The sequence below is a fragment of the Homo sapiens genome, chromosome 14 (genome assembly GCF_000001405.40).
Source record: "Homo sapiens chromosome 14, GRCh38.p14 Primary Assembly".
Taxonomy (NCBI): Eukaryota; Metazoa; Chordata; class Mammalia; order Primates; family Hominidae; genus Homo; species Homo sapiens.
In genome coordinates, this window is record NC_000014.9 from 22,473,005 (window position 1) to 22,499,179 (window position 26,175).

General features: G+C 43.6%; 1 long non-coding RNA gene, 3 pseudogenes, 18 gene segments (V, D, J or C) and 1 further gene, besides 6 other annotated features; 22 read left to right on the forward strand and 1 right to left on the reverse strand.

Moving 5' to 3' along the window:
- Nucleotides 1-9,955, reverse strand: part of TRD-AS1 (TRD antisense RNA 1) — a 103,555-nt gene extending 93,600 nt beyond the window's left edge. The window contains exons 1-2 of the long non-coding RNA NR_148361.1: nucleotides 9,849-9,955; nucleotides 8,237-8,354 (exon numbers count right to left, since the gene is read on the reverse strand). This is a non-coding gene — a long non-coding RNA (TRD antisense RNA 1). The remainder of the gene's footprint in view (nucleotides 1-8,236; nucleotides 8,355-9,848) is intronic.
- Nucleotides 1-26,175, forward strand: part of TRA (T cell receptor alpha locus) — a 930,229-nt gene that overhangs the window by 851,101 nt on the left and 52,953 nt on the right.
- Nucleotides 2,312-2,371, forward strand: TRAJ61 (T cell receptor alpha joining 61 (non-functional)). The segment is given in 1 exon segment: nucleotides 2,312-2,371. A coding segment is annotated over 1 exon segment (60 nt), but the record flags the coding sequence as incomplete, so codon positions are not given.
- TRAJ60 (T cell receptor alpha joining 60 (pseudogene)) lies at nucleotides 3,302-3,358 on the forward strand (annotated as a pseudogene). The gene has a single exon.
- On the forward strand, nucleotides 3,549-3,602 carry TRAJ59 (T cell receptor alpha joining 59 (non-functional)). The segment is given in 1 exon segment: nucleotides 3,549-3,602. A coding segment is annotated over 1 exon segment (54 nt), but the record flags the coding sequence as incomplete, so codon positions are not given.
- Nucleotides 4,703-4,765, forward strand: TRAJ58 (T cell receptor alpha joining 58 (non-functional)). The segment is given in 1 exon segment: nucleotides 4,703-4,765. A coding segment is annotated over 1 exon segment (63 nt), but the record flags the coding sequence as incomplete, so codon positions are not given.
- Nucleotides 5,868-5,930, forward strand: TRAJ57 (T cell receptor alpha joining 57). The segment is given in 1 exon segment: nucleotides 5,868-5,930. A coding segment is annotated over 1 exon segment (63 nt), but the record flags the coding sequence as incomplete, so codon positions are not given.
- On the forward strand, nucleotides 6,517-6,578 carry TRAJ56 (T cell receptor alpha joining 56). The segment is given in 1 exon segment: nucleotides 6,517-6,578. A coding segment is annotated over 1 exon segment (62 nt), but the record flags the coding sequence as incomplete, so codon positions are not given.
- Nucleotides 8,693-8,749, forward strand: TRAJ55 (T cell receptor alpha joining 55 (pseudogene); annotated as a pseudogene). Its single transcript has one exon.
- On the forward strand, nucleotides 9,283-9,342 carry TRAJ54 (T cell receptor alpha joining 54). The segment is given in 1 exon segment: nucleotides 9,283-9,342. A coding segment is annotated over 1 exon segment (60 nt), but the record flags the coding sequence as incomplete, so codon positions are not given.
- TRAJ53 (T cell receptor alpha joining 53) lies at nucleotides 10,000-10,065 on the forward strand. The segment is given in 1 exon segment: nucleotides 10,000-10,065. A coding segment is annotated over 1 exon segment (66 nt), but the record flags the coding sequence as incomplete, so codon positions are not given.
- Nucleotides 11,829-11,878: a silencer, noted in NCBI's record as "silent region_5584". NCBI's record gives its function as "represses an Ori minimal core promoter by ATAC-STARR-seq in GM12878 lymphoblastoid cells {active_cell/tissue: GM12878}" and the evidence as "EXISTENCE:reporter gene assay evidence [ECO:0000049][PMID:35858748]".
- Nucleotides 13,224-13,292, forward strand: TRAJ52 (T cell receptor alpha joining 52). The segment is given in 1 exon segment: nucleotides 13,224-13,292. A coding segment is annotated over 1 exon segment (69 nt), but the record flags the coding sequence as incomplete, so codon positions are not given.
- TRAJ51 (T cell receptor alpha joining 51 (pseudogene)) lies at nucleotides 14,179-14,241 on the forward strand (annotated as a pseudogene). The gene has a single exon.
- Nucleotides 14,961-15,120: an enhancer, noted in NCBI's record as "active region_8117". NCBI's record gives its function as "activates an Ori minimal core promoter by ATAC-STARR-seq in GM12878 lymphoblastoid cells {active_cell/tissue: GM12878}" and the evidence as "EXISTENCE:reporter gene assay evidence [ECO:0000049][PMID:35858748]".
- Nucleotides 15,151-15,210: an enhancer, noted in NCBI's record as "active region_8118". NCBI's record gives its function as "activates an Ori minimal core promoter by ATAC-STARR-seq in GM12878 lymphoblastoid cells {active_cell/tissue: GM12878}" and the evidence as "EXISTENCE:reporter gene assay evidence [ECO:0000049][PMID:35858748]".
- Nucleotides 15,589-15,648, forward strand: TRAJ50 (T cell receptor alpha joining 50). The segment is given in 1 exon segment: nucleotides 15,589-15,648. A coding segment is annotated over 1 exon segment (60 nt), but the record flags the coding sequence as incomplete, so codon positions are not given.
- On the forward strand, nucleotides 16,484-16,539 carry TRAJ49 (T cell receptor alpha joining 49). The segment is given in 1 exon segment: nucleotides 16,484-16,539. A coding segment is annotated over 1 exon segment (56 nt), but the record flags the coding sequence as incomplete, so codon positions are not given.
- Nucleotides 17,487-17,549, forward strand: TRAJ48 (T cell receptor alpha joining 48). The segment is given in 1 exon segment: nucleotides 17,487-17,549. A coding segment is annotated over 1 exon segment (63 nt), but the record flags the coding sequence as incomplete, so codon positions are not given.
- Nucleotides 17,611-17,680: an enhancer, noted in NCBI's record as "active region_8119". NCBI's record gives its function as "activates an Ori minimal core promoter by ATAC-STARR-seq in GM12878 lymphoblastoid cells {active_cell/tissue: GM12878}" and the evidence as "EXISTENCE:reporter gene assay evidence [ECO:0000049][PMID:35858748]".
- TRAJ47 (T cell receptor alpha joining 47) lies at nucleotides 19,847-19,903 on the forward strand. The segment is given in 1 exon segment: nucleotides 19,847-19,903. A coding segment is annotated over 1 exon segment (57 nt), but the record flags the coding sequence as incomplete, so codon positions are not given.
- TRAJ46 (T cell receptor alpha joining 46) lies at nucleotides 20,399-20,461 on the forward strand. The segment is given in 1 exon segment: nucleotides 20,399-20,461. A coding segment is annotated over 1 exon segment (63 nt), but the record flags the coding sequence as incomplete, so codon positions are not given.
- Nucleotides 20,917-20,966: an enhancer, noted in NCBI's record as "active region_8120". NCBI's record gives its function as "activates an Ori minimal core promoter by ATAC-STARR-seq in GM12878 lymphoblastoid cells {active_cell/tissue: GM12878}" and the evidence as "EXISTENCE:reporter gene assay evidence [ECO:0000049][PMID:35858748]".
- On the forward strand, nucleotides 20,921-20,986 carry TRAJ45 (T cell receptor alpha joining 45). The segment is given in 1 exon segment: nucleotides 20,921-20,986. A coding segment is annotated over 1 exon segment (66 nt), but the record flags the coding sequence as incomplete, so codon positions are not given.
- Nucleotides 20,997-21,056: an enhancer, noted in NCBI's record as "active region_8121". NCBI's record gives its function as "activates an Ori minimal core promoter by ATAC-STARR-seq in GM12878 lymphoblastoid cells {active_cell/tissue: GM12878}" and the evidence as "EXISTENCE:reporter gene assay evidence [ECO:0000049][PMID:35858748]".
- Nucleotides 21,817-21,879, forward strand: TRAJ44 (T cell receptor alpha joining 44). The segment is given in 1 exon segment: nucleotides 21,817-21,879. A coding segment is annotated over 1 exon segment (63 nt), but the record flags the coding sequence as incomplete, so codon positions are not given.
- Nucleotides 22,909-22,962, forward strand: TRAJ43 (T cell receptor alpha joining 43). The segment is given in 1 exon segment: nucleotides 22,909-22,962. A coding segment is annotated over 1 exon segment (54 nt), but the record flags the coding sequence as incomplete, so codon positions are not given.
- Nucleotides 23,883-23,948, forward strand: TRAJ42 (T cell receptor alpha joining 42). The segment is given in 1 exon segment: nucleotides 23,883-23,948. A coding segment is annotated over 1 exon segment (66 nt), but the record flags the coding sequence as incomplete, so codon positions are not given.
- TRAJ41 (T cell receptor alpha joining 41) lies at nucleotides 24,653-24,714 on the forward strand. The segment is given in 1 exon segment: nucleotides 24,653-24,714. A coding segment is annotated over 1 exon segment (62 nt), but the record flags the coding sequence as incomplete, so codon positions are not given.

Genomic DNA, 26,175 nt, shown 5'->3' on the forward strand with positions numbered 1-26,175 from the left:
CTGCCACTCAAGAGGGGTCCTCAGACAAGGTGGGAGCCAAGAGATTTGGCGAACGTCACCCTTGTCCCACAGCTTGGATCTTGATCACTCATATCACTCAGAAGAGGGACTTTTCTCTCTTGTTTCCTTTGAGGTGGGCGGCTTTGTTTTTGACATTGTAGCGCCCTCTGCTGCTACTAATTATCGCATCTCCATAAATAGGTCATACTGGAGGTTGATAGAAAATAGATCAGGGAAGGAAAACATTCTTTGTTCACAATTCAAGTCAAAGCTGCTGCTTCTGTCTCCATTCCCTTTTCAACTCTGAGACTGGCAGCTGCTTCTCTGTTGGCCCAAAGGGACTATCCTCCACCAGTCACCCAAAGAGGACTGTCTTTAAGGATATGAGATAGCACCCTAAGAGGATAAATGGACATTTTCTTGTCTACAAAAAGCCTAATGCAACAGTAGAGGACATAGGGAAATTTCTTTGGATGGATAGAGACAAGTGCATCTCTTTCTTACGAAAGAATAGAAATGTGATTAAAAAGGAAAAGCCTAGAAACATCTGAACGTGTGGAAATGGGGGTGAGTGGGCTAGAGAAAGGATTTCTGCATCACTTTCTTCCTGTAGCAATTCCATCCGAGATCCCTGGGACAGACCTGGCCTGATGAATAGCAGGAAGCACACCAGGGAGGGACAAGGTCCTGCAGACAACCTTCACCACCAGGCTGGGACAGCGCCATGGGGACCCAGGGCCTCTGCTTTGGGGAAAGACCTTGCTGAGGGCCCCATGGGCAAGAACAAGTGTGAAGAACCCTACTATGGTTTTTTGCCCAATGCCCTCCACAAAGCCAGCGTTTGAAGGAAAACTGTGAGGAAGAAGGGACACTCCATGGTGTTGTTGTTGCCACCGCTGGAGCAGCCTGTAGCAAGAACAGTCTTGGTCCAACCAGGTCAGTGATACTTTTTATGATGGGGCTGTGTGGGACCTGACCTGACTCTTGCTAACCAGATTTCTAAAGCCATCTGCAGGGTCTTTTCTCCTATTATTCCCCAGGGCAGGGAGGGCAAACAGATTATATCTCCATTATCAAGAGCTAACAATTGGTAGAGACTATGCGGAGCATGCTGGTAAGAAAGATTCTGAGGCCACATCTATACTCAGAGGAAGAGAGTGATGTGTTTATTAGCAATATTTACCAAGGGAGCAGAAGCAGGAGGCAACCCCACACCATTTTGTATTTCCCATTCCTGCTCTCGATGTCATTCCCTGAAATGAGTCCTGCAGAGAAAGAATAATCAGAGCCAATTCTCCATTGGATTGTCCTTTTGGTAAAGGGCAAATTTTTCCATTTCTGTCTTTTCCATGGACCATTTCCCCTGCTATCAATTGCTGTTGCCTGCAGCCTAAGAAATAAAATTTTTAAATAAATGAGAACGTTCTATAATTCTCTCTAAAATCATAAACAATGTGTCAAGGCCAAACACTTCCCTGGTGTGATTTATTCCTATGTGGACTCATCCTTGTATAATTAGCAGGAATAATCACACCCTGAGCCAGCTGGCAGAGCCCCTGGGGACAGAGACCACCCAAAGAAGGTCCTTGTTCTCCTGAGTCACATAAAGGGAGTCACACAAGGCGGGAGTGGAACTCAGGTGTCCGGAGTTCTAGTCCCAGCTCTGCTTCTACCTATCTACATGACCTTGAGCAAATTTATCCCGCAGAGCTTCAGCATTTTCATCTCTAAAATGAGGGCATTGGCCCAGGCAGCTGTTAAATTTCCTTCCAAGTCTCACATTCTAGGATGCTAATGTGTAAAATTATAGAACTGACCCAAGAGTTATTAGTTCATATCCCCCTGTGCATGTTGCTTGAACTCCTCATTGCCCAGCAGGAGGAAAAGGGAAAACATGTTTCTTCATTGGGGGGTAGCATAATTTCCTGGTTGACTATGTGTGACTCATCAGAGCCTGGCGGTCCAAGCCCATATGCCATTTGAAATCCGGTTATTATTACATCTGGGAGAGAGAAAAGTGCTGAAAACAGCCTTTGGGACACTATCGATTTGGCCAAAAAAAAAAGAAGAAGAAGAAGAAGGCTCTGTCTAGTGTGATAACATTTTGTTATCTTATTCATTGTCTTCATCCCTGAAATACACTCTGCTCTCTCCTATCTCTGCTCTGAAAGGCAGAAAGAGGGCAGCCCTCTCCAAGGCAAAATGGGGCTCCTGTGGGGAACAGAGGGGTGCCTCTGTCAACAAAGGTGATGCCACATCCCTTTCAACCATGCTGACACCTCTGGTTTTTGTAAAGGTGCCCACTCCTGTGGGTACCGGGTTAATAGGAAACTGACATTTGGAGCCAACACTAGAGGAATCATGAAACTCAGCAAGTAATATTTGGCAGAATTTTTTTTTCTATCTGAAAATTATCAGTGAGAGATTCTAATGTGCCTTAACAAACAGGAACAAAAGATGAGTGTTTAATACAATTCAATTTAACAAATATTTATTAAGAGCCTACAGTTATTCCCATGGATCATCTGAGTCAGTTTCCGAGGAAACATTATCGTTGCCTTAAGGGAGCTGGGGGGTTGTCAACGGGCCAGAGGTGGGATGAAAAATGACAACAGATTTACCTCTGGGACCGGGACATGGTTAACCACAGCGGCCCTGGGTAAGTAGCTTAGCTTCAGAAGAAAATGTGCCCAACAGCATGGGTAACCTAAAACACCGGGCAATCCAAATATTCTTTTATGATTGGCTTTAGCATGTATTTTATTCTTTTGTAGGGCAGGTTTATCTCACCAATTATATATTTTCTTAACTGACCTGTAAAATCTACAGGGGAAAAGTATTTTAAGAATTATATGTTTCTGCAATTAGGCTCCCAGCAGTCAACAAAGAAGTGGTACTTTTTGTCTTTCCAGTGATGAAAAAGGGAACCTGGCATCCCTGGTGGCCCACCAGCGTCTCCTTCCCTGGCCTAGGTCAGAACAAGCCGTAAATCAGCAGGCCGTTATCTTCTTATAAATCTGTAGAGCAGGGTGGACAACAAAAGGCAGCCTGCTAGGTTTTCAGAACATGAGTTCCTTGTGTAGCCAGAGAACCTGGGACCATCCTGACGTGGCTGGTCCTGCTGTCCTCACAGCCTGAATCCCAGGCTGTATGAATAGGAGAGGTTCAAGTCCAGATGACTGTTCACGATGCTGGTCCCCCTTGCATCCCTAATCATGCTAGAGACATGACCAGGGTCTGAGAGGAGGAAGTTACAGCACAGCACCAACAGGGGCTTTTGGTAAAGGGCCTGGGCACTATGTGAAGATCACCTAGATGCTCAACTTTGGGAAGGGGACTGAGTTAATTGTGAGCCTGGGTGAGTACCTCAACTCCAGAGGTAGCTTTAGCGGAACCCCTCTATACCTAACACCTGGCAATCAGAGGGCTGAAACACTTGGCCAGATAATGAATTCTCTTATCCGGTGGGAAAAGGCTGTAAAGATCAAACCACCTTTCCTATGGGTAAGCAAGAGTCTGTAGTTTATGTAAAGGCAGCAGCTCCTGTGGGAAGGAAGGAAACAGGAAATTTACATTTGGAATGGGGACGCAAGTGAGAGTGAAGCTATCTTTAAACCAAAGGTGTCAGGTTATTTGGTTTGGTTTTTGAATTATCTGGAAGTTCCAAAGAAAGAACACTTCTCCCTGAGGATTTGATTGCAAAATTCTGACTTCAAACTTCTAAAAAGATCAAATGTTAAATCAGATAGTAGGCTTGGAAAACTCTATTTCTCTATGTAAAAAGTAGAGAACTACTTTTCTTTTGTTTGATCATTTTATTTTGTTTAGGAAATAAGAGGATTAGATACCCTGGTGGTGAGTGGGGAGGGCAGGGACATTTGCACAGCATTTCTGGATAAATTAGATCCAAATAATCAAATCAAAGACTCTCAGCTCAGAAAGTAATTAAAGATCTCCTCACCCACCTCTTTAATTTTGCAAATGAAGACAGTGAAACTCAGAGAGGTTATGAACTTGCTCAAGGTCACACAACTGATCCTGATATCAAGGTCCAGGGCAAAGCCAAGACAGCTCATAGTTCTCACCAGCCCAGACCCAAGGGAGAAAAAAACATCATAGTCCTTGGCCACGGCAGCATCATTTGCATCCCAAACATTCTTTACCCAAGACTTAATGAACTCAAAAAGAAATCCTGAGTTCCAAAGGGAAATAAAATCATTCTGCGTCTGTTGAAAAAAAAAGCAAGCTAAAGTGGAACAATAATTGAACTTGATATTAGGGGAAAGGTGCAGCCATCTGCAGACTGAGAGAAGGGTGAAAAAAACAAAATGAAAATGCTAGTCTTGTGTTCAGACAATGATTATGACCATAGAACACTACCTATAAGTTCTGTAGAGCTAATTTCTTTCCCAGTGGGGTTGATATTCTATGATAGATTGCATCAGCGGTGTGATTGTTTTGGACCATAGAATACGTATACAGAATTGGCTTGTTGAGCCTTCTGGTGTCTTGAAGTGAAAATCATATCTCTGGACATATCTGTCAGGCCTGAAGCCCTAGGCTACTGGAAAGAAAGATACCATGACTTATCCTTCCTCTAAAGCTTAGAAGTTGGAGAAAAATTCTAGTTCTTGGGAAGCTCTGCAAAGCAGGGTTCGTTAAGCTGATGCCACAGGTTTTTGCAAAGCCCCTCAGCACAGTGTTTAAGAAACCAGTGGCTCTAGGTTGACCTTTGGGGAAGGAACACAGCTCACAGTGAATCCTGGTAAGTGGAGGGGAGCATTGAATCCTCTGCCTGAATGTATCCATTTTATGCCAATGAATTGAGATATGGCTTCTTGCCCCATCTCTGCCACATTCAAGTCCTGCTTGGCTAAACAATGCTCACGGATGTGCACGTGTGCAGTGGGATGCAGCTTTTTCTAACCTCTCACAAAATCACGCAACCCCTTCACCAAACTGCTTGGTGGCTCTTCTGTGCCCTCACAGCCCTTCTAGTTTAGCAGTTAGAGGAAGACAAGTGCCCAAGGGCTTTCTCATTTTTAGGTCATTGTGGAAAGAGGAACGTTGGTGATATGTTTGCCTGCTTGGGAGGAAAATAATAATGATGATTTACTCATTGGTTTCTATATGCTAGTTGATGTGCTGCATTCTTTCTCTTATCACATTTAATCCTTATACCAGGTCTGTGAGTTAGGTGCTATTATTATCCTCATTTTATAGAAGAGATATATTTATATTTTATATTTCTATAGAAGCACAGAGATGTTGAATAACTTGTTCAAGCCGATGAAGTAAGAAAGAGAACCTGGAGTTTAATTCTTGGCACTCAGATTCCAGAGCTAAAAGCTTTTCAGTGAGGGGATTATGTCTAGAGGGAATGTCCCTGATGCTCTAGTCTCTAAGGTTGCTAAGATAATCGCTAAAGAACTGCGCTCTCAGCAAGTAAAGCCAGGGGTTGGTCAACAGGACCACGGTGACCCAGTTACATATTCTTAATCCTTACAACATCATCAAGCAGTTGCTGTTTTCCCCACTTTACAAGTGAGGAAACTGAGGTGTAGCAAGTTAGGAAACTTGTCCTGAGTTTTAAACTCAAGCCTACCTGCCCCAAAGCCTGAGCTCTTTTAAATTAACTGCAACTGCTGACCAGTTAGATTAACTAATTACTTAATTAATAAGATAACAACCTAACAGGCTGTAAGGTAAAAAAGTAATCAGATTTGTTCTATAGGTCCCCTCCCTTTTCGGGAATAGCTATACAATTGTATAATTTTATGCTTCCCCTGGGAGAGTGGGTGGAGCCCTGGCTCCCAGCCCATGATGGAAGGGTCTTGGCAGTATTTGTAAAGCAGTCTGTGGGGGTGTAACTCAGGGCGGATCTGAAAAGCTGGTCTTTGGAAAGGGAACGAAACTGACAGTAAACCCATGTAAGTCTGAATAATGCTTCCAAATTTCTCCCTGGAACCCTGATTTCCAAATTTTCCATTCTGTTTTATAACCCAGGTCCAAACCACAGCAGTCCCATTAATGGATTCCAGTGCAAAACAACTGCTGGTGTATTCCTACTACACGCAGGTCTCTGTTGTTTGCCCTCATGTGCTATTTTATCTAATAGCTGAGAATGACAGTACCAATGGAGCACTGAGTTAAGGAGTCAGACTGTTCGAAGGCTTCATTCTTCGTTATAATTGGTGAGATTTTCCATGGGACTAAGAGAAAATTGATTAACTCTCTGAGCCTCTATTTTCCTCCTCTGTAGAATGGGGGAGGCAGTTCCTGTTCCCATTTTACCACAGCCGGCGTGCTGTGAGGGGATGTTGGTACATTTCCAATAAGGGGACAATGAGTGTGAAGAGAAAGGAAGGCCCCAGGTGGTCCGTAAACTCTTCCACCAGTCCCACACTATAAACAGCTGGTTTTATCAGGGGGATTCTTGGATGACAAGTAAGCACTTAAGTAAATATCAAGGGGAGTCTGGGCAACTGAGTTTTTGTAGATCCTCGTGTCATTGTGTTATACTGGAGCCAATAGTAAGCTGACATTTGGAAAAGGAATAACTCTGAGTGTTAGACCAGGTATGTTTTAATGAATGTTATTTGTTTCCAAACATAAGCCACCATCCTTAGAAATTCAGTGAAAGATAACCGAATCTCCTGCCCAGTTATTAGCATCTTTCACCATGGGTCTTTCTGGAGAAAATGACAATGTGGGCAGCCCCTGACTGCAGCCCCTTTGGGACTGTTTCTTTAACACCTTTAAGTACTTGGGAATGTTCAGTGTGTTTTTGTTAATGTTGGAGATATGTGTCTGACAAATGGAATCTGAATTGAAGTTTTAGTGTGTAGGGGCAGAAAGCATTTAGAAAGGACAAAAGAAGGACAGATTAGACTAAAATACATACCAATGGCTGGGAGTATGCAATGCAACCCAATCCAAAAGGAAACAGTGAGATGTAGCCTGCTGATTAAACAACTGAGCCAGCACTCCGTGTCAGCTGACTTGTCTTCCCAAAGCTTCCATGTTGGTGCAATTAGGAAAAGAATTGTCTAATCCCCATAACTCAAAATCTTGGAGCCAAGCTAAATTGGGTAAAGCCGTGTAAGATTTTCTGGTACTGACACTGACTACAAGCTGATATTTAGGGAAAAGTTAAGATTGAAAGCAAATATTCAAATTAGTCAGAAAGACCACGAACTTCTGAAAACAAGCCCCAGGGTGCTGTTAACTGCTGCATTTCTAATTGGGTCCTCATGGAACATTTTCATCTCTGCCTTGTCTGAGCTTTCTGCACCAGAGAAGCCCCTTTTGATACCCACTCACTTCTGAGTCCCTCATTGAAAAGGTGGCAACTAAGCTTAGAGAAGGATTCCCTAATCCAAATGCAATACTTGGGGGAATATTTTGAGTATTGCTCCACCATTCTCAAAACAAACCTAATTTCAGTTAACTTGAATGTAGCTGAAATTTTGTTCCATGAGGGAATCTCTGCTTTCTATGATAATGCAAGCTCATTTCAAACAATTGTTTGGGATTTAACTTTTGCTCATAATTCCCAAAAGATACCAACTATTCAATGAGTATCTTAAAATAAAACTACTTTTATGACCAAATTATTATCCCCATTAGAATGGCTAGAATCAGAATGTCCTAGTATGTATTATGTGAACCCCATGCGACCTTCCTAAAGTTTCTTATGCCTAAAACAGCATAAGAGAGAAAAGCATTTCCACGCTAACCTGTGTGTTCACTGGTTAACAAAGGTCTAAAGAGCAGGTGAGTCAGCTGCTCCATTTCCAAACTGGACTGGACATTTACAGTCCTGCAGATACTAAAAATGATAATCAGGAAAAGCACACACAATTCTACTTTTTCTTATAATTCCCATCTTTCCCAAAGAACTGTTATAAATTCTCTCCCAAAGGTGTTATATTCATCCTTCTTTTGTTGCCTCTATTTGTGATGTGTACTGAGGTGAAATATTTGTTGAGATTCAAAAACCCCATGAGATTTAACTTAAGCTTTCCCTGTCAGAGAGATTCTAAGAGCTAAAAGATGGGAAGCTGGTATTTGGGAACTAGATTAAAAAGAAAATCCAAATTAATCCCAAGGAGCAAGGCTCAATAGATAGTTATTTAGACATAACATGTCCACCCTGCAAGCCTAGTTGCTCAGTTGACTGGGCTGCCCCTATCTTAGTCTTGCCTGGAAGAGAAATAAGTTGTTTGCCCCATACCTGTCTTGAGAAATGTCAGCCTCCAGACCTGAAAGCTTCTTGTGATTTGGTTTATTTCTGTAGAGTTTATTATTATACACAGTGTTCTTGAAGTAATAGAGAAGTGCATTAGAAGCTCCTGCAAATGGAAATGAAATGTAAATTTAGATTGTAAATACATGACTGCGGTAAATAGATAGCAAGAAAAAGGATGAAGAGATTAGAAATTTGCCACATTTCTCTAACCCTAAAGGGATGTTTCTATAAATAGTTTAAAACTGTTGAAGACGAAGGGGGAGGAGGAAGGAGAACAGAGGCAAACAGATTTTCTCCTAATCCTTTCCATTTGGCAAAATTAGAAATGGTTTTTCAATTAAATTTCCCTGAGCAGAGGAAGAAACCATGTCTGTTTCCACACTAAAATTCCTGTGGGTGGGAGTCTCTAGAGTTGATTTGGAGGATGGATCCCTGTTAGTGACAAGTGCTGGTAATGCTCCTGTTGGGGAAAGGGGATGAGTACAAAAATAAATCCAAGTAAGTGTGGAGGGACAAGAAGATCTCACAGTGCAGGATTTCCCCTGGATTTTCTGCATTGCCTTTTCACCTTTCCTGTCTTAGCACGACAAATTAGGTCCCAGATGAGCAGGCCCTCGCATTCAAACCGGAAATTTTAAGGAGGAAGCCAGATTAACTTTACTCGGGAGACCTAGTAGACTCTGACTTTAAAGATTCTTTTAATCCAGCTGTTTTTAGGGAGAGCTCTGTAAAAGATGAAAGAAATGTTTTAAAAAAAAATTAAAATTCTGTGGGGTGAAAACAAAGATGTTAAATATTTGATTGGCAAGGCAACTGGAAAATCTGGACCATGTCTACAACTGCTAAAGGAGGCTTTGTGAAAGAGAAAATGAGCAGCCCAAGGAGATCCTGTCCTAAACTTCTCTGGCCAGTGAAATTCGGGCCATTCTCTGCCACAGCCCTGGACTGCTAGGAGGGCAGATCATATGTCTTCCTCAGTGGGGAGAGGTGGGCCCTCGCTGGCAGTTTCTGTAAAGCCTCGTGCTGTGGTGTAATTCAGGGAGCCCAGAAGCTGGTATTTGGCCAAGGAACCAGGCTGACTATCAACCCAAGTAAGTATGACAGGGTGAAGCTACATGCAGCTGAGTACAGTCTTTTCCTTTCTAGACCGTGTCCTGCAAGCTCTCCTTGAGGGACGTATACTCATTTTGCATTGTCCTTTGTAGAGAAGCAGACCAGGAAAGACAGGAAAGCCCTCAAATTTCCACTTTTAAACACCTCCCTGTAAAAACTGTCTCGCTTCCCTCCCCTTCTACAATCAGTTTCTAGTAAATCAGAATCCGGTGAATTGATATGCAATTTCAACGAAAAAAAAAGCAGAGAAATAGTTACCCCAACAAGTGCAAAAAGTAGAAACTATCTGAGTACCAGCCAAGGGAAGATAATTAGGAAAGAAAAAAAAAGAAAGAAATGGATTACTGGAACCATGATGGCAGCTTAGTCACAAAGAAAATGATAAAAAAAAATTAAAATTAAATTTCAAAAACTTTAAAGATATATACATATATATATATCTATATATATATGATATATTGTCCTCTGGAACTCCAGCACTCACCTACAGCAGCTGCATTCTGGACTTATTATCAAATAACCTATAAACCTGTAGCTTAATGAAGAGTTGAGCAATCGTGACTATATTGACCCCCAGGACCCTTCTGCAAAGAGCAGCTTCTGTTCCTGTTTCTGTAAAGCCTTCTGTGGCTGTGAGAATAGTGGAGGTAGCAACTATAAACTGACATTTGGAAAAGGAACTCTCTTAACCGTGAATCCAAGTAAGTTTGAAGGGAGTGGGGGAAGGGGGAATTCAAACACTTCTGATTTAATTACTTGCCCCTCCAAAACATTCCAGCTTAGGTTCCAAATCTAATGTTTGTGCTGGGGGGATATGGTGCCCATCAGAGGGATTAGAACTCCACTGTACAAAGACTAAATTACTTTCAGCCCAAAACATTCCTATCATTCATCTTAAACAAGATTATTGGTGCAAGGAGAAAAACTGAATACAGAATCCTGAGGGATCCAGCTAAGGGTCAGGAAATGTTTGCCGAAAAGATAAAGAGGAAATTGGCATATCGTGACTACGCAAATGCAGTAGACCAAATATAAATTGTCCTGACTTAGATACTAACACTCCTCTTAAATTTATCGCCTGAAATAATGGAACCCTGCAACTTCATTAACTAATGCTGAAAATTCTATAAGCAGGCTCCTTTTCTTCTTTTACCTTCACTTTACCTCTCTGAAAAGAACTGTTCTCAATCCCCAGTCTGGTAACTGAGGTCCAGTCAGTTAACTGTCTGGTTAACTCAGGCAGAGCATTTAACCCCACTTTTTCTTTGGTTACCAAAATAGTGGATTCAGCCTCCACTTTACTTAGTTCACCTGAGAAGGGGAAAATTCATCTGTCCTCTGAGTCGTGAGAATAGAGCAGTACATTCTCTCCTTCAAATATACACCCACCCTTCCCTAATGGTAATGTGTGAGTACTTAGAAAAGTTTTTAAATGTTAGATATAAAAGTAAGGCACAGTGGTTGCTAATGGCACTTCTTGAAAATCTGCGCTGCTGGTGGACTTCTGAAAGTGGTGCTTATAAACTAAGGCTGGAGAAGACTGACTTGTAAAATTCAGATAAAATGAAAATGGGAAAAACTTATCAAAGGGCCCCGGTCTCCTAAGTGCCCTGATGTTGAGTAAAGGCCAAATGCCCCAGTTTTACTTACTCAGATCTGCTTTCTGTGATTAAGAAGAGATGCACACTAGAGAGAGGCACTTTGAAAAACACAGCCCAGGCAAAATTCTTAAAAAGACTGGCTCTGGTGGCGGGGCGGGTGGTGAAGGACTCAGGGACACCGTGCATGCAGCATTGAGGGAGTTAATGCAGACTTGCTAGCAGACAGCTTGGAACGTTCTGGGATAGGCCCTGCCTGAAGAACATGCAGTGTGGTTAGCCATCAAGTTCCCATGTGCAGAAGTGCCTTGCTCAGCAGGGGCAAAATCAGCACGTCTGTGGCAACAGCAACAATGAATAATATATGATGTTAAATCCCAGGGGTTCAGCAGTCTCCACTGAGGTCTTATCAAATTAAAGCTTCAAGGGGATTCATATGAACATCCCAGGAGACTCAAGGACTCAGTCGCTTTTCAGAGGGTGGGCAGCCAATGCTAGGGACCAGACAGTAGGCTTTTTTCTTTGGTTTCTTACCGGAAGCACACTAGGGCGGGGCTCTGCGGTGGGTTTTCCAGAATGCAGAGAAGCTGGGAGCCCCTCTCAGCACTTGGTCAGCCTCTTAGGGGACTGAGAACTGTAACAACTCCTACCTTTTAAAACATTGACGAGGTCAGGGTGTTTGACAGCCTAACCAGGCAAAGAAAATATCTGTGCAAGGCTAGCATTCTTCCAGAGCTCTGGACAGTAATCGTATGCCAGATTTTCCATGCAGTGGATTCTAGCTGCAGGAACTATATGGCAAGGCTGGAGTCCAAGGAACCCATGATTAAATTCTGTTTTCCTGCAGTAAGTGGAACACAGAGATTATTGCCACAGCAACACTTTGGGTGCCTGTCTGTTTGAGGACCTCAGCTGAGGGCAGGCATCTGGTTTTGCTTATGTCCTGCGGAGGCTGAAGAGAGGGTGGGAAGCCCTTTAGACAGTGAATACTGTGAAATAGTGAAGAGATGGGAAGGGTCGTTTGAATCCCTGACTGCTGTCCTTAAAAAAAATGGATACGTCTTCTTAGCTAAATAATAGCCTTTTTCTCTCACCCTTTTCATGATAGTAAGCAAGCTAAAACTTTAACCCTTTGTAACAAGTGGTTGCTTGAAGACATGACTAAACAGGCTAGCATAAATTCAGCCCAAAAAAAGTCTGAGTTAAGAAAACTAAATTCTATTAAAGAGGTGTCTGTTTTTCACACCCCTGGGGGACAGGGTTTGATCATCACCACATCATGAAACTGCCTGGATTTTGCTCTTCACATTTTTTGTGACATCCAGACACAGCCAGGGTGACTCCCAGGATTCCTGTGGTTGTGTCTGTTGGCAACAGAAGCATTATTTGGTCAAGGGATGAAATTTACAGGAACCCCAAGTAAATGTGCAAAAGCCTGCCCCTAATAGAGACCTCACTTAACCCTACCACTGTGGTCACCGGGCTGCTCTGTGAGGTCAGAACACCTCAGGTGAGACTGTGGAGTAACCAGATGTCCTGGTTTTCCTGGGTTTCAGGGGTTTTCCAGGACAAAGGTCATTCTTTGCTAAGCCCAGAATGATCCCCAGGATAGTTAATCACCGTAAGAAGGCACAGATAAAAACTTTTTTCTGTGAGCTACTACTTACATTTCACCAAATTCAAGACTGACAAAAAAACTACGTTGTGTGAAAGCTCAGTTACATGTGCCCATCATTTTTATTTCTTATGCTAGGGCATGAAGGGAAGCTCAGGAGATCCTGTTTCATGAGGCTACAGTCTAAATCTCATCTAATTCTAGTCATTCTCCAAAAAGCTGAACACTCTCCTCTTGTCTCCTTGTAATCAATTCATTGTCATCAGAAATGTGTGACACCTCGAGGGGAGGGGAGGACGTGTCTTGAAAACTGATCAGAGAAATTGTCCTGAAAATGATGCTGTAAAATGGAAATGAGACCTTTAGAAAGAGAGATGCTGAACATGAGAAATCAGTAAGCCTCAAGACAAAAACCAGAGGAAATGGAGAGAGATGGGAGGCAGGAAGCCGGACCTCGGGGGACGCAGCAGGTCAGTGTCCCAGGACCAGAGGTGGAAATGGTCTTCCAGCCTTTGGTGGGATGAAACTGAGCCTCACAGACCCAGGCCCCTTTGGGTGAGTTTATTCTCCCCAGAATTAAAAGAGGAGGAAGTCTGCGAGCTTCAGAAGTCCCCCTAGGGTTCTTGTAAAGGCCTCCAGTGCAGTGCTAATGCTGGTGGTACTAGCTATGGAAAGCTGACATTTGGACAAGGGACCATCTTGACTGTCCATCCAAGTAAGTGTAACAAGACACAGCAGTATACTGGAAATTCTGGAATGTCACCCCAGTGTCAGGTTTTAAAGAACCAGATATTGCTTAAAGTTAAGTGGTGTCCTCTGAGGTCCTTTCTCTTCTTTAACCTCAATATTCACAGATTTTCTTTTGGACCCTGAGTTGTTAGGTCTGTCTCCCTGCTGCGTGTACAGCTGACCTTGACCCTGGAAAGTCAGAATCTTTCCTGCTTTCAGTGTCTTCTCTGGAGGTGATGCCCTAACTTTTTTGAGGGGGAGGTCATCCTTTCCAAATGACTCCCCTGAGTAACCTGTTCTAATGTTTAGTAGCATTCCCTGTCAGAAGTCCTTCCTTACCTCAATCTTAAATTATTCTTGGTATAGCCGAGGCCGTTTCCACCAGCATCATCCACAATAAAGAGGAAAATTGAGAGCGGAGTTTGAATAGGTATGTGGTATTTGGTTCAGAATGGGTTTTAAATGAAAGTGGAGAGGGAAAAAATGAAACCTGAATGGGAATCTGAGGTCTTATTTCAAATCCCTCTCTGTTTCCTGTCTGTCATCTCCTTTTGCTTCTATAGATGCAAAACTACAGAGAGAGAGGCGGGGAGAGAAAGGATAGACAGAAATAAACATCCACTGTGTCCATTCCCTGTCACTGAAACCACCAGGCAAGGGATTACAATTAATTCCAAAGAGTTTCAGATACACGGCTTAATACCTTTCTCCTTGTGGTGACTTGTATCCTGGCTGATAATTAGAGCAGATAGAAAGATTTGGCTTTGGTGTGTTTGCCGCTGCACCCCGCTGGGAAGAGACAGAAACTTGACTGTTTTTTAAGATTCATAAAGTTCCTTCTGTCAGTCGTTGTAAAACTCCCTGAAGCAGGGAGATGCGTGACAGCTATGAGAAGCTGATATTTGGAAAGGAGACATGACTAACTGTGAAGCCAAGCAAGCTGGAAAGACCTAAACTCACAGTGTTCCTTATGTACTTTTGCTCCCTTCCCCGTTTCAGGCCTTTTGGCTGTTTCCTGTAGGGATTCTAAGAGAGTCAAATGGAAATGGATTGAAGAGAGTCTGAAGCCCCGTGGGTGCTCAGAAATGATAAATGAAAGGAATAAGAGACAGAAAGGGAAACAAAGTTGAAAAGCAGGAATATGTCTTTCACTGCAGCTTGATAAGACTGAGATGTGAGGTGGGTGTCAGAGAAGGGCATGATCGCTCCAGCTGCTATTGCAGAACACTCTGTTTTCCTAGGATCTCTATCAAGGGCAGTGTCCTCTTATGCCAAAGGGATGAGTCAAGTCCCTATATTTCTGGAGTAGCTGCCCTTGTGCAGGCATAGTTGGTCAGGCAGACAGCACAATCCCAGCTCAGTGTGTATGGAGGAGGCCACCTGACATTGCCAGCTGTATCTGCTCCATTCAGTGGCAGCATAAATCCATACCAGGTGGGTGTGGATTTGGAATATGCCAGTGCCACTACAAGGCTGAATGTTGAGTTGTTGTGATCATCTTGAATGTGTGAGATGCCTCCAAGTGAAGTCTGGTTCTAATGAGCAGGGTGCAGGTTGGACCAATATTGCCCATTTTCTGTTGAGTTTCTCCAAGCCCAGTAGTGTGGGAGCCAACATTGAGAGACTGACATTTGAGCTAGGGATCCTATTGACTGAAATATGCCAAAGGGATCTGAAAGGTCAAAACTGCCTTCAGAGCTCAGCCTTTGTTGTTATCTCTCTGGCAGTTGTCATTTCAGCAAAATGCATCCACTTAGAAAGCTCAGCTCTTCATTAGGCAGACAAATGAGAACAACATATTGACCAGAGATAAGGAGTTGGGAGCCCAGATCTCAGCCTCTGAGAGCCTGGCATTTCCAGTTCTTTAATCACGTGAGCCAGTGAGCATATGCTATCTCAGAGAAAGCAGATCAATGGTGCCTGAGGACCTGGTGTCACCAAGCTAGGGCTTAGAGACAGAAATGAGATGCAGATGGGGATGTTGTGTGAATTGGGGAATAATAGAGAAGTGAGGAGGAGACAGGGAGTTCAATGATGCTTTTTAAAACCAGCAGCATGTGAGAAATTGTAATGACACAAAGGTGAAGAAGTATGTATTGCATATAATCCTAGCAAGTTTCCTACCATTCCCAACAGAATCTAGCCTCACTGTGGCTCCAACTCACAGATCCTATAGGTAATGCTGAATCTTACCTGAGATGCCTTTTGAAGTGGCATCAAGACTGGGCTCTAAAATCTTTAAGAGTCACCTGTCAGTTATTGTAAAGGTTTGGATGGCTGTGTGAAAACCTCCTACGACAAGGTGATATTTGGGCCAGGGACAAGCTTATCAGTCATTCCAAGTAAGTGTCCCTGGGGTGCTGCCTGTGGAGTGCGCTGGGGCTAACAGTCTCATACATTAGGGCTTAAATGACTGTGCAGATGGCATCGTGGTTGAGGACACAAAACTGAGAGAATCGAGATACATTGACTCTGATCAGAAAAAAAGGTCACGGAATAGCAAACATAGGTTTAGTCCTTAAAAGGTAGCATAGATAACATGGGACTTGAACGTGGCAATTTGAAAAACAACCTGTGGTCTATCAGCACGTTCTCACTGCACACGGGGGATAAACAGGGGTGGGGGAATAAGCAATGGACATTGCATGATAGGGGTGCTAGGGAAATGAGGCAGGTCAGGAAGAAGGAAGGTGATCAGAGCCTCATACGGAGTTAATCTAGAGAAGATGAATTGTTCCATAAGTTTCACAAAGAAATAAAGTCCAAAGATATAATAAGAAGTCCTGATTAAAATCCACTTCAGAATCATATGATCATCAGGAGAGAAATTAAGTCTTAAAAGAAAAAGAAGTTTTTAAATGTAGGTCCATAAAACAAATGGACCTACACCTTTAATTAGACAGCAAGCAGCACAAGATGCACGTTAGCCTTCCTTTTAATCCCCTCTCAGGAGGAATCAGTCCCTCCAGCTGCACATGGTCACAGCTGCTCTAAGCCCTGGAGCTCCTTCCCAGTAATACCCTTGCTCCTGTGCCTGCACAGGGAAAGGAGATGCCTGCCTGCCTGCCTGCCTGCCTGCCTACCGGTCTGCCTTTTGGTCCGCCGCTTGGTGGGGCCCCAGGTGTAACCTCTGGCTGTCTCTTCTGCCTGGTTTTTGTTGAGCTTCCTATCACAGTGGAACACCGGTAACCAGTTCTATTTTGGGACAGGGACAAGTTTGACGGTCATTCCAAGTAAGTCAAAGAAAATTTTCCATCACCATTGTGTTGAGCAAACCCTTTAAACTGCAGAAAGAGCTGTCAAAGTCTGCTACTCTATTTCTCTGCTTCTAGGTATAACTTTATCTGGACCAGAGTAAAGAGGCCCCCGACCCACCCCGAGAATGATTTATGCTTGGACAGGTCTTTATTTCATTCCTTGAACTATCTATCTGTCTATCTATCTATCCAGCTATCTATGTATCTATCTATCTATCATCTATCTCAGAAATAGTTGTTTTTAACAGTTGATTCTGTGCCTCACCCAAATTGTCATTAACTAAATGCAGATGTGCTGCCACACTGATAAACTTCATTGGAAAAAAAGAAAAAACCAAACCCAGAGAATGTTCCTTGAACATTCCTGAAGTGGGGGGGCAGGCGATGTCACTTGCAGTGACAGCTGGCCTCTCTAGCTCACCCCCACATCTGTGCCAACCAGAGAAGCTGGGCCCTTTGTAGCACAAGCCTCAGGAGCAGAGAATGGAGGGACATTCTCAACTGAGAGGAGAGGGACTAGGAGGCTAGATGGGAAATGAGGTGACTCTACAGAAAATCGAATATGGGATGGTATAAAAGGATGAGAAAGATGGCAGGGGGTCCACGATCGCTCTTGTATTTAGACCTGGGGGATGCACTGATAGATACCACCTGGAGAGAGAAAGAGGATTTCTGTTTCCCTCTGAAGAAAAATGTGGCAGAAAAATCAAAACAGATCGCACATGTCAAGCCTCTCCTAATTACAGCCTTTCATTCTGGTTTCTCTCAGCTGTTCCAGCAGGAAATGGTAGGAAAGGGTCATTGGTGCCTTTGATGTTGTGGAAGCATTGCAGGAAGGAGATTTGCAAGAAACGGGGCAGGGGCTTGCAGTAGAGTCTGGAGAGTTTAGAATGATGGTTTTTGCAATGACTTAGAACACTGTGTATCTAACTTTGGAAATGAGAAATTAACCTTTGGGACTGGAACAAGACTCACCATCATACCCAGTAAGTTCTTCATCCTTGGTCAGGAAATCAGCCTGCATAAGATTCTGGGGATCATAGTAGAGATGCAGGCTTAGAGAATTTTCATCTGTCCTTGTTCATAACTGGTAGAGACAGGTGGCAGCCAAATATCTGAGTTTTCCGGGGGAACTCCAGTCCTGACTATTTAATTCAAAACTAGAAAATATGATTCACAATTCTGTTTTTGCTGCTGCCGTCAAGTGCTAATGTGGCATGTGAAGAGAATTCAGGCAGAATGACTGCATCTTCACTTTCATCTTGTGTGATAATTTTAGCTTTGAGTACTGCAAGTGTTTGGGAGAAATGGTAGAAACATAGAATATCAAAGAGACAAGCAAACCAAGAGACCCAGAGAGGCAGGCAGACGGAACGTCAGGCAGTATAATTTTACAAAACTAATTCAGTGTTGTGTCTCTCTCTGCAAATGGCAAGGTATCGGGAAAGGTGCTAAGAGCTAGTGCTCCGGGTGGGGCAGGATTATCTAAATAGAAAACTAAGCACTGATCTCAGGGGGAAAGTTTAAACTTGGAAATCTCTGGGTTTGGTTTTTTGTTTTTTTCCAATGAAGTTTATCAGTGTGGCAGCACATCTGCATTTAATTAATGACAATTTGGGTGAGGCACAGAATTAACTGTTAAAAACAACTATTTCTATGCAGCCATAAAAAATGATGAGTTCATGTCCTTTGTAGGGACATGGATGAAACTAGAAATCATCATTCTCAGTAAACTATCGCAAGAACAAAAAACCAAACACCGCATATTCTCACTCATAGGTGGGAATTGAACAATGAGATCACATGGACACAGGAAGGGGAACATCACACTCTGGGGACTGTTGCGGGGTGGGGGGAGTGGGGAGGGATAGCATTGGGAGATATACCTAATGCTAAATGACGAGTTAGTGGGTGCAGCACACCAGCATGGCACATGTATACATATGTAACTAACCTGCACAATGTGCATAAGTACCCTAAAACTTAAAGTATAATAATAAAAAAAAACAACTATTTCTGAGATAGATAAATGATAGAGAGAGGGAGATACTGGATATATATACACAGTTAATGACAATTTGGGTGAGGCACGGAATTAACTGTTAAAAACAACTATTTCTGAGATAGAGAGAAAGAGAGAGATACTGGATATATATACACAGGGTAGAAGAATGTAGAGAGAAACATGGGCAAATATATTCTTTTGCACCTACAATTAAAAGCTGTGGAAAATTTGAATATGTTCACTTTGTAACCAAAGACAACCACACAAAATGGAACGGAAAGCATGCTTGCAACAGCGAGAACTGGAAGTATGGAACCTTTCTGTCTTAACCACTCAGTTGCCTAGAAGAATCTTTTTTCTATTTTGCTGCATTAGAAATTAAAGGCATGAGTATTGAGGATTTGGGTAGGTCAGACTTTTATAGTGACAATCACATTACAAAGCACCTCTTAGCTAGGTTGGATAAAGCACCTTTAAACATCAAAGTCTTTTTCTTCTTTCTGGATGAGATAGAAAAATGGTCTCTCCTCACTCTGTATCTAAGGACAGGGGGCTCAGAGAGTTCCAGACTTACAAAGTGAGACTGCAGCAGAGCTGAGCCATGGGACCTGGAGGGACCCAGTGACGGTTAGTCTGCTCCCTCCCACGGGTGCTATAGTAGCCACAACCGTTCAGGAAACCGTCCCCAGGTGAGAACGTAACACACGCAGGGAAAATCCCACTGCTACTAAGAGCAACTCAGCATAAGAATGCATTACCCAGCAAGGGACAGTCAGAGGGGCTCTAAACCAGAGCCCCAAATATTTGAAAACTTTATGTGGAAGCCAGCTATAACAAGTTCGTTTTCCAAGCCGTGCTTCCAGAAGCTGTTAGTGGTTGGTAGTTGCTAAGGGTTTTGAAACTGGAGGACATCATAGCAGAGTGGAATTATTTGGCACAAGGGGCTATGATTAGAATTAATGAGATGAAAGAAAATTCTGGCTAGAAGACTAGAAAAATCCGGAAAGAAAAGATACAGTAAACCTTGGGGGAGTTGTAGCATTTATCCTAGTCCAAGCAGCAAAGAGCAGACAGAAGCCAAATTCCAATAAACAATTGGCCTTTTTACTTTTACAAGTTTCTGCAATTATCACAATGTCTTCAGCTTCTTGGGCAAATATCAACAGGTCCTAAATGCAAAGTGGAACAGTCCTCTGTTTCCAGAACCGAGTAGCTTAGCCCCGCCCCACACACCACCCATGCTCAACCACTGTTTTTGTAGAGGAGTTTGACGCTGTGTGGAATATGGAAACAAACTGGTCTTTGGCGCAGGAACCATTCTGAGAGTCAAGTCCTGTGAGTATAAAACACACTCAAGTCCCAACCTGGGTTTCATTGCATATTAAATAAACTTTTTCTGGCTGGGAAGTATTTGATTCTAAAGAAAGGAAAAGTGAAATTCCAAGCGCAACGCAAGCATTTCATTAGTGTGATTCATTAAGAATTTCCATGGGTTGCCTTCGAGAGCGTTAATCACATCCATTCACTGGTGAGACCCACAGTTTGAAAATTGAGTTAAATTTGAAAAAAAAATTGTCACCATCTCTGTAGACCACAGTGCTTGCTGTTTGGGTGTCTAGACTTCCAAAATGGAACCTCAATCTGTAGTTTCGAGCTTGGAGATTTATCCCGAGCCCGTGACTTAGAGATGTGTAAGAAAAGCTGCACACTGCTGGGCCTTGTAGGGCATTTGTGGGATCAGTGTCATGAAATAGCCTGGGTAGACAGGTTGGTGAGGAGACACTGGTGACAGGTGTCTGCCCTGTTTCTGTAAAGCTGCTGACAGCCGTGAGAAGAAAAGCAGCGGAGACAAGCTGACTTTTGGGACCGGGACTCGTTTAGCAGTTAGGCCCAGTAAGTCTGAGCAGAAAGTAAGATATTTATGCCTTTTCCTATTATTTGTTCTAGCCTGACATTTGAGTTGTCCTCCTTTGGATTCCAGATCAACAAACCATAGTGTCTTTTCATACTCCTTTTAATATTTGTGGCTAAGGGCCCTCCGTTCTTCCCATCTGTCCTACATGAGGGTCCTGTGGCCAGGTCCACATTCATAAAGAAGCCAACAGTGATGCAGTTGGTTGGCAGTGTGTCAAGAAACTGCAGTCATCATCTCCAGGGCCCTTACTCTGGTTATGTGTGTTTCAAGCTTTTATGCCAGCAACAGAGGAGAGGGAGAAGTGACCAGTAGCAATGACCAGGGCTATTAGCTGTACCTGGTGTCTGTGGGTTTCAGAGCAGCTGTGGAGGTTACGGGAGGTTCAGGGCATGAGTTTTTCTGGCAGAGGAGTTTATGTAAAGGGTTGGCCCAGAGTGTGTATTCAGGAGGAGGTGCTGACGGACTCACCTTTGGCAAAGGGACTCATCTAATCATCCAGCCCTGTAAGTGCTTTTGCCTGGGAGGTGGGGTTCAAAATGCAGTCCTCATGGGGACATTTCTAAACCTTGGCTCATGTGCTTCTGGTGCCACTACCATTTTTGGCACTATCCTACTTACATGGGAGGTTTTGAGCCATGTAGACAAGGAGGTGATGCAGTTTGTGCTTTGGAGGACTCCTGAGATCTGCCCTTTGGCAACTGTGTTTGAGTAGGAGTCCCTCATTGGAAAATCTGGATGCCAGCAGACAAAAGATATGAGCTTAGGATGGGTCACAAACAAATGGAGGCCACTTTGCCAGCAGCACCTTTGCAACGAAAATTGCTTTCATAGGAAATGTGGAAATGGCTGTGTAGATAGAGATTTGGCCATTTCTCCTTTTCTGTCTTTATACCCTCTTCTCTGCCTGACTTAGGGACCTTAAATTAGAGCAGTTATTAATCATTTGATTTCTCGGCCCCATCACTCATCAAGTATGACAAGAGGGATTCATTAAGATAAAACCCAGAAACAGAAAGGACAAAGAATTCAATTCTCAATGTCTTCAGAGTTGAACTTGACAACTCCTCAGCCTTAACCATCTAGTCAGCACCCCATGACCAACTGAGGTCAAAGAGGGCAACCAGCAGGTAATGTTAGTCAAGTGAGTATCTGGCCAGAGCCCAGCTGCCCTCATAGGAATTAATACTGTGGAGTTTGGGAAAGGGAAATGCATCTGTGAGGGCTCACCCAGGCTGCCCATCTGGGAGAGATCATGGGGAGAGTTCTGAGTGAGGGAGTGAACACCAGATGGAAAGTCAAGCAACAGGTTTCTGTTATGAAGCATCTCACAGTGTAAATACCGGCACTGCCAGTAAACTCACCTTTGGGACTGGAACAAGACTTCAGGTCACGCTCGGTAGGTAACAGAAACCGTGAGGTAACTTAACTGTGTGTTCCTTTAAAACAGGGGATACTGCAGAGGGGATATCCTGGCTGGATGTAGTCCTTCCTTCCTTCCAGTGGGAGGTGATCTCACTGAGGACACATACCTGCATTCAGTCAGTTCTTGTGCTATTTTTATACCTGTTACGGAGGCTTTCCTTTCCACCTGTGAAAACAGAACCTCTCTGCTCCAAGCTTCTTCAGTCTTTATTACCCTATGTATTTCCTTTAGAACAGTGGTTTGGGAATTAATTTATCATCAGGACTTTGTCTCTGATGATATCACTCTGGGCAACAAAATGAAAGGGCTCTCAAATAGAGAACAGAGAGTCCTGAATACTCGGATAACTTTTCCAGAGTGATATGTGTTATGCGTAATGGGATGAAGTGGGCTAGAATGACCTTCCAATGACTATTTTGGAGACACACTAAGGAAACTTGCTTAACATCCTATATCCTTAACTTGTTAGAACATTGGTGAAGTAAAGCAAAATCTTGACCCTCTAAGAACATAAACAAATGCCAACTCCTCTCCCCCAAAGCACTGCCATGTTTCATTATGTGCAATTATGAAACAAATACATGATAATTTATATGAAATTACATAGATGAGTAGTTTGAGTATTTTGACCCATGAGTAAGATGCAAATTGTAGAAGTTCTCAGGTAGTTCTTCATAAAAAGTTGTCCCTGAAGACAAATAGTGTACCTGGGCATAATTTGTTTGCAGTGTTGGTTTATGCACCATTTGGGGACCTGTTTGAAAGCTGATTATGTCCCAGTGTGCCAATTTGGGGTCTCAATTAACTGTGCTCAGTGCACTGATAAGTGCCCATATTTACAGTCTAGAAGCATGACAAAATGACCCCATTTCTGTAGGAAAAGGAGAATGGAACTGTGTGTGGCGTGGTACTTGTCAGTGCTGCTCCCCCTTGTCCCTGCCATGCTGGGAGGTGGCTGCAAGTTTTCCCCAGGAGGTTTTTGTTAGAGCATGTATTACTGTGACAATAACAATGACATGCGCTTTGGAGCAGGGACCAGACTGACAGTAAAACCAAGTAAGTTGGGGGAATGGGTCAATCTTAAAAGCTGACCTGAGTGAGCAATGGTGCTGTTCTGGGCAGTTTCTGTGGGGTTAAGACACTGCCACTCCCAAGAGGATCTAAGTACCTGGTTTCTTTGTGCCTGAGACCCTGAGCTGGTTGGAAGTCTGTTAGTTGATGAATTCTGGCAATCTTAAGGATTAGGTCAAGAAGAAGTAGAAAATTTCACTGGTTTCTTCATTGGCTTGGCTCTGGATATATAAAAATGCTAAATATAAGCCGGGTGCGGTAGCTCACTCCTGTAATCCCAGCACTTTGGGAGGCCGAGGCGGGAAGATCATGAGGTCAAGAGATGCAGACCATCCTGGCCAACATGGTGAAACCCCATCTCTACTAAAAATACAAAAAATTAGCTGGGCATGGTGGCATGCGCCGGTAGTCCCAGCTACTCAGGAGGCTGAGGCAGGAGAATCGCTTGAACCCGGAAGGCGGAGGTTGCCGTGGGCCGAGATCGTGCCACTGCACTCCAGCCTGGCGACAGAGCGAGACTACATCTCAAAAAAAGAAAGAAAAAGAAATATGGCTGAGAAAGTGGCATGGTGCTCCTGGTCCCTAAAGTAGCCCCTGGGACCTCAATGTTGACCTCCTGTGCTGGGTGGGATGTTTCTGCCCAACCTTGCTATTGTGCCTCTGGCACAAGCATTCTGTCAGAACCCAGTGTCCTAGGAACAAAACAGGGGATTTACGATCAAGTTCAGATCTATCTGCACAGCCAGCTGTTAATTTTAGAGAACTGTCCTGACCTTGCAAAGGAACTGGAAACAGAGGCTGCAAGGTGGGGAGACTTCCACTAGAGGGGAAGGTGATCTCACTTGCTCAGCCTTCCCCTCCATCCTTCCCACCTGTTGATTATTGTAAAGCCCCATAGGACTGTGTGAATTATGGAGGAAGCCAAGGAAATCTCATCTTTGGAAAAGGCACTAAACTCTCTGTTAAACCAAGTAAGTGTTGGGGATTCAAAGTCCTGATTTATCATCAGTACTTTGTCACTCTGGGCAACAGAATGAAAGGGCTCTCAAATAGAGAACAGAGAGTCCTGAATACTCAGATAACTTTTCCAGAGTGATATGTGTTATGTGTAATGGGATGAAGTGGGCTAGAATGACCTTCCAATGACTGTTTTGGAGACACACTAAGGAAACTTGCTTAACATCCTATACCCTTAACTTGTTAGAACATTGGTGAAGTGAAAACAAAAGCAGTAAGTGCAACTAAAGTGCAATGCAGAGTGAGTGAGAAGAGACTTACCAACTCCTTTCTCTGTGATATCTTCCCCCCACCTTCACCCTTGAACCCCACAGAATTGTTTCTGTCCATGCCCCTGGCTGTTCCCAGTCCAGACCAGCACGTCGTTCTGCTGGACATAGGAAAACTCCAGACTTCATAACATGTCACAGGGCCCCCTCCCTCAGATGGCAGATCTCAATATTGATCACCCACATCACTGTGGGGAGTGGTGACCTTGTCAGCAATGGTCTCATGGAAGAGGGAAGCTTTATTTACACCATCAAGGGCCCATGGATGACCCACAGTCTGTGTGACTGCTGTGTGATTGGTTTTCAGACATTAGCTTTAATAGGAATCATAGGAGAAGGGACATGGTGGCTACTGCAAGGGGTTTTTTGTTTAGGGAGAACGCACTGTGGAACTCAAATTCCGGGTATGCACTCAACTTCGGCAAAGGCACCTCGCTGTTGGTCACACCCCGTGAGTTTTTGTGGTTTACTAATTGTCCTCTCTGGAAAGAAATCCAATGGGACCTGTTGAAACACAGCTGAATTTAATTGCTATGCTTAGCATGCAGTTGTTAACTATGTCTGATGTGTGAGCAAGATATGAATACATGTTTCCCTGGAGGCTGGATTTGGTTATCAGGTCTCGGGGCAGTTTGATAAATTGTACTAATGCTGCAATCACTGTTTTTCAAAGGTCCACAAAGCACGTTGTGGCTTTGGGAAAGGCAGAGATAAGAAGCAAAGCTTTGTGATAGAGACAGAAACAAGGCCATGAAAAGGGAAGCTACCAAAGCAATGGCATAGCCAAGGAAGTGTGTCCTCAACAGATAAGTGGCAAGGACCCTGTTGAGTTGATGCTTGTGTTGTCTGGTAGAATTAAAAAATAAGATGAGTGGGCTGGGCACAGTGGCTCATGCCTGTAATTCTATCACTTTGGGAGGCTGAGGCAGGTGGATAGCTTGAGGTCAAGAGTTCAAGACCAGCCTGATCAACATAATGAAACCCCATCTCTACTAAAAATACAAAAATTAGCCGGGCGTGGTGGCGGGCACCTGTAATTCCAGCTACTTGGGAAGCTAAGGCAAGAGAATCTCTTGAACCCGGGAGGCAGAGATTGCAGTGAGCCTAGATCGTGGCACTGCATTCCAGCCTGGGTGATAGAGCGAGACTCCGTCTCAAAAACAAAAAGAAAGAAAAACAGAAAAATAAGGCGAGTGGACTGAGGACTCCAGTGAAGGGAGGGCAGCAGGAGTTCCAAGCTTGGCATGGCTTTCTTCCTCTACGAGAATAGCAGAACAATGTAACTTTCTCTAGAGAGAGAACAGAGCCCTTGATTTATCACATCAATGCTTCTGTTTAGGTAGCCCCCTTCCTCACCGTAGGGACAAAGCAGGCCCCCACATGGACTTCACCCCCTTAACTAGGCTGGCCAAGCCAACCCTATGGGAGAGGCAGAGAATCCCAGGACTGCAGAGGGCCTCCCCATGTCCACTAGATTATCTGTAATAAAACAGAATATTTATCCAAGTTGTGAAGCTGTGAGGGAGAGGGTAATCGTGATAGATTATAAAAAGCAATATTGAAAATTATACAAGCTGTCTCCACACTTGCAGAATTCAGTGTGTTTTTTGTTGTTATTGGGTTTTTTTCTGTTAGAATTACAGAAACAGGGGTGCTTTCCTGCAGGCACCCTGTTTGCAAAAATGTCTGCCATCTCACATTTCAGTAGTATTTCATCAACAATCTTCTGCACACGAACCAGCTGTGACAATAAGGTAATGGGGCTGATTTGTTAACAAATCGAGTTTATACATTTCAATGAGTGGCCTAGTCAAAACACTCAGCTTGAAGCATCCAACACTGTCCATTGCTTTCCCCCTCCCTGAAACCACCCTCAAAGGCCAAAACACTTTCTTTTTGTAGCATCCATGAT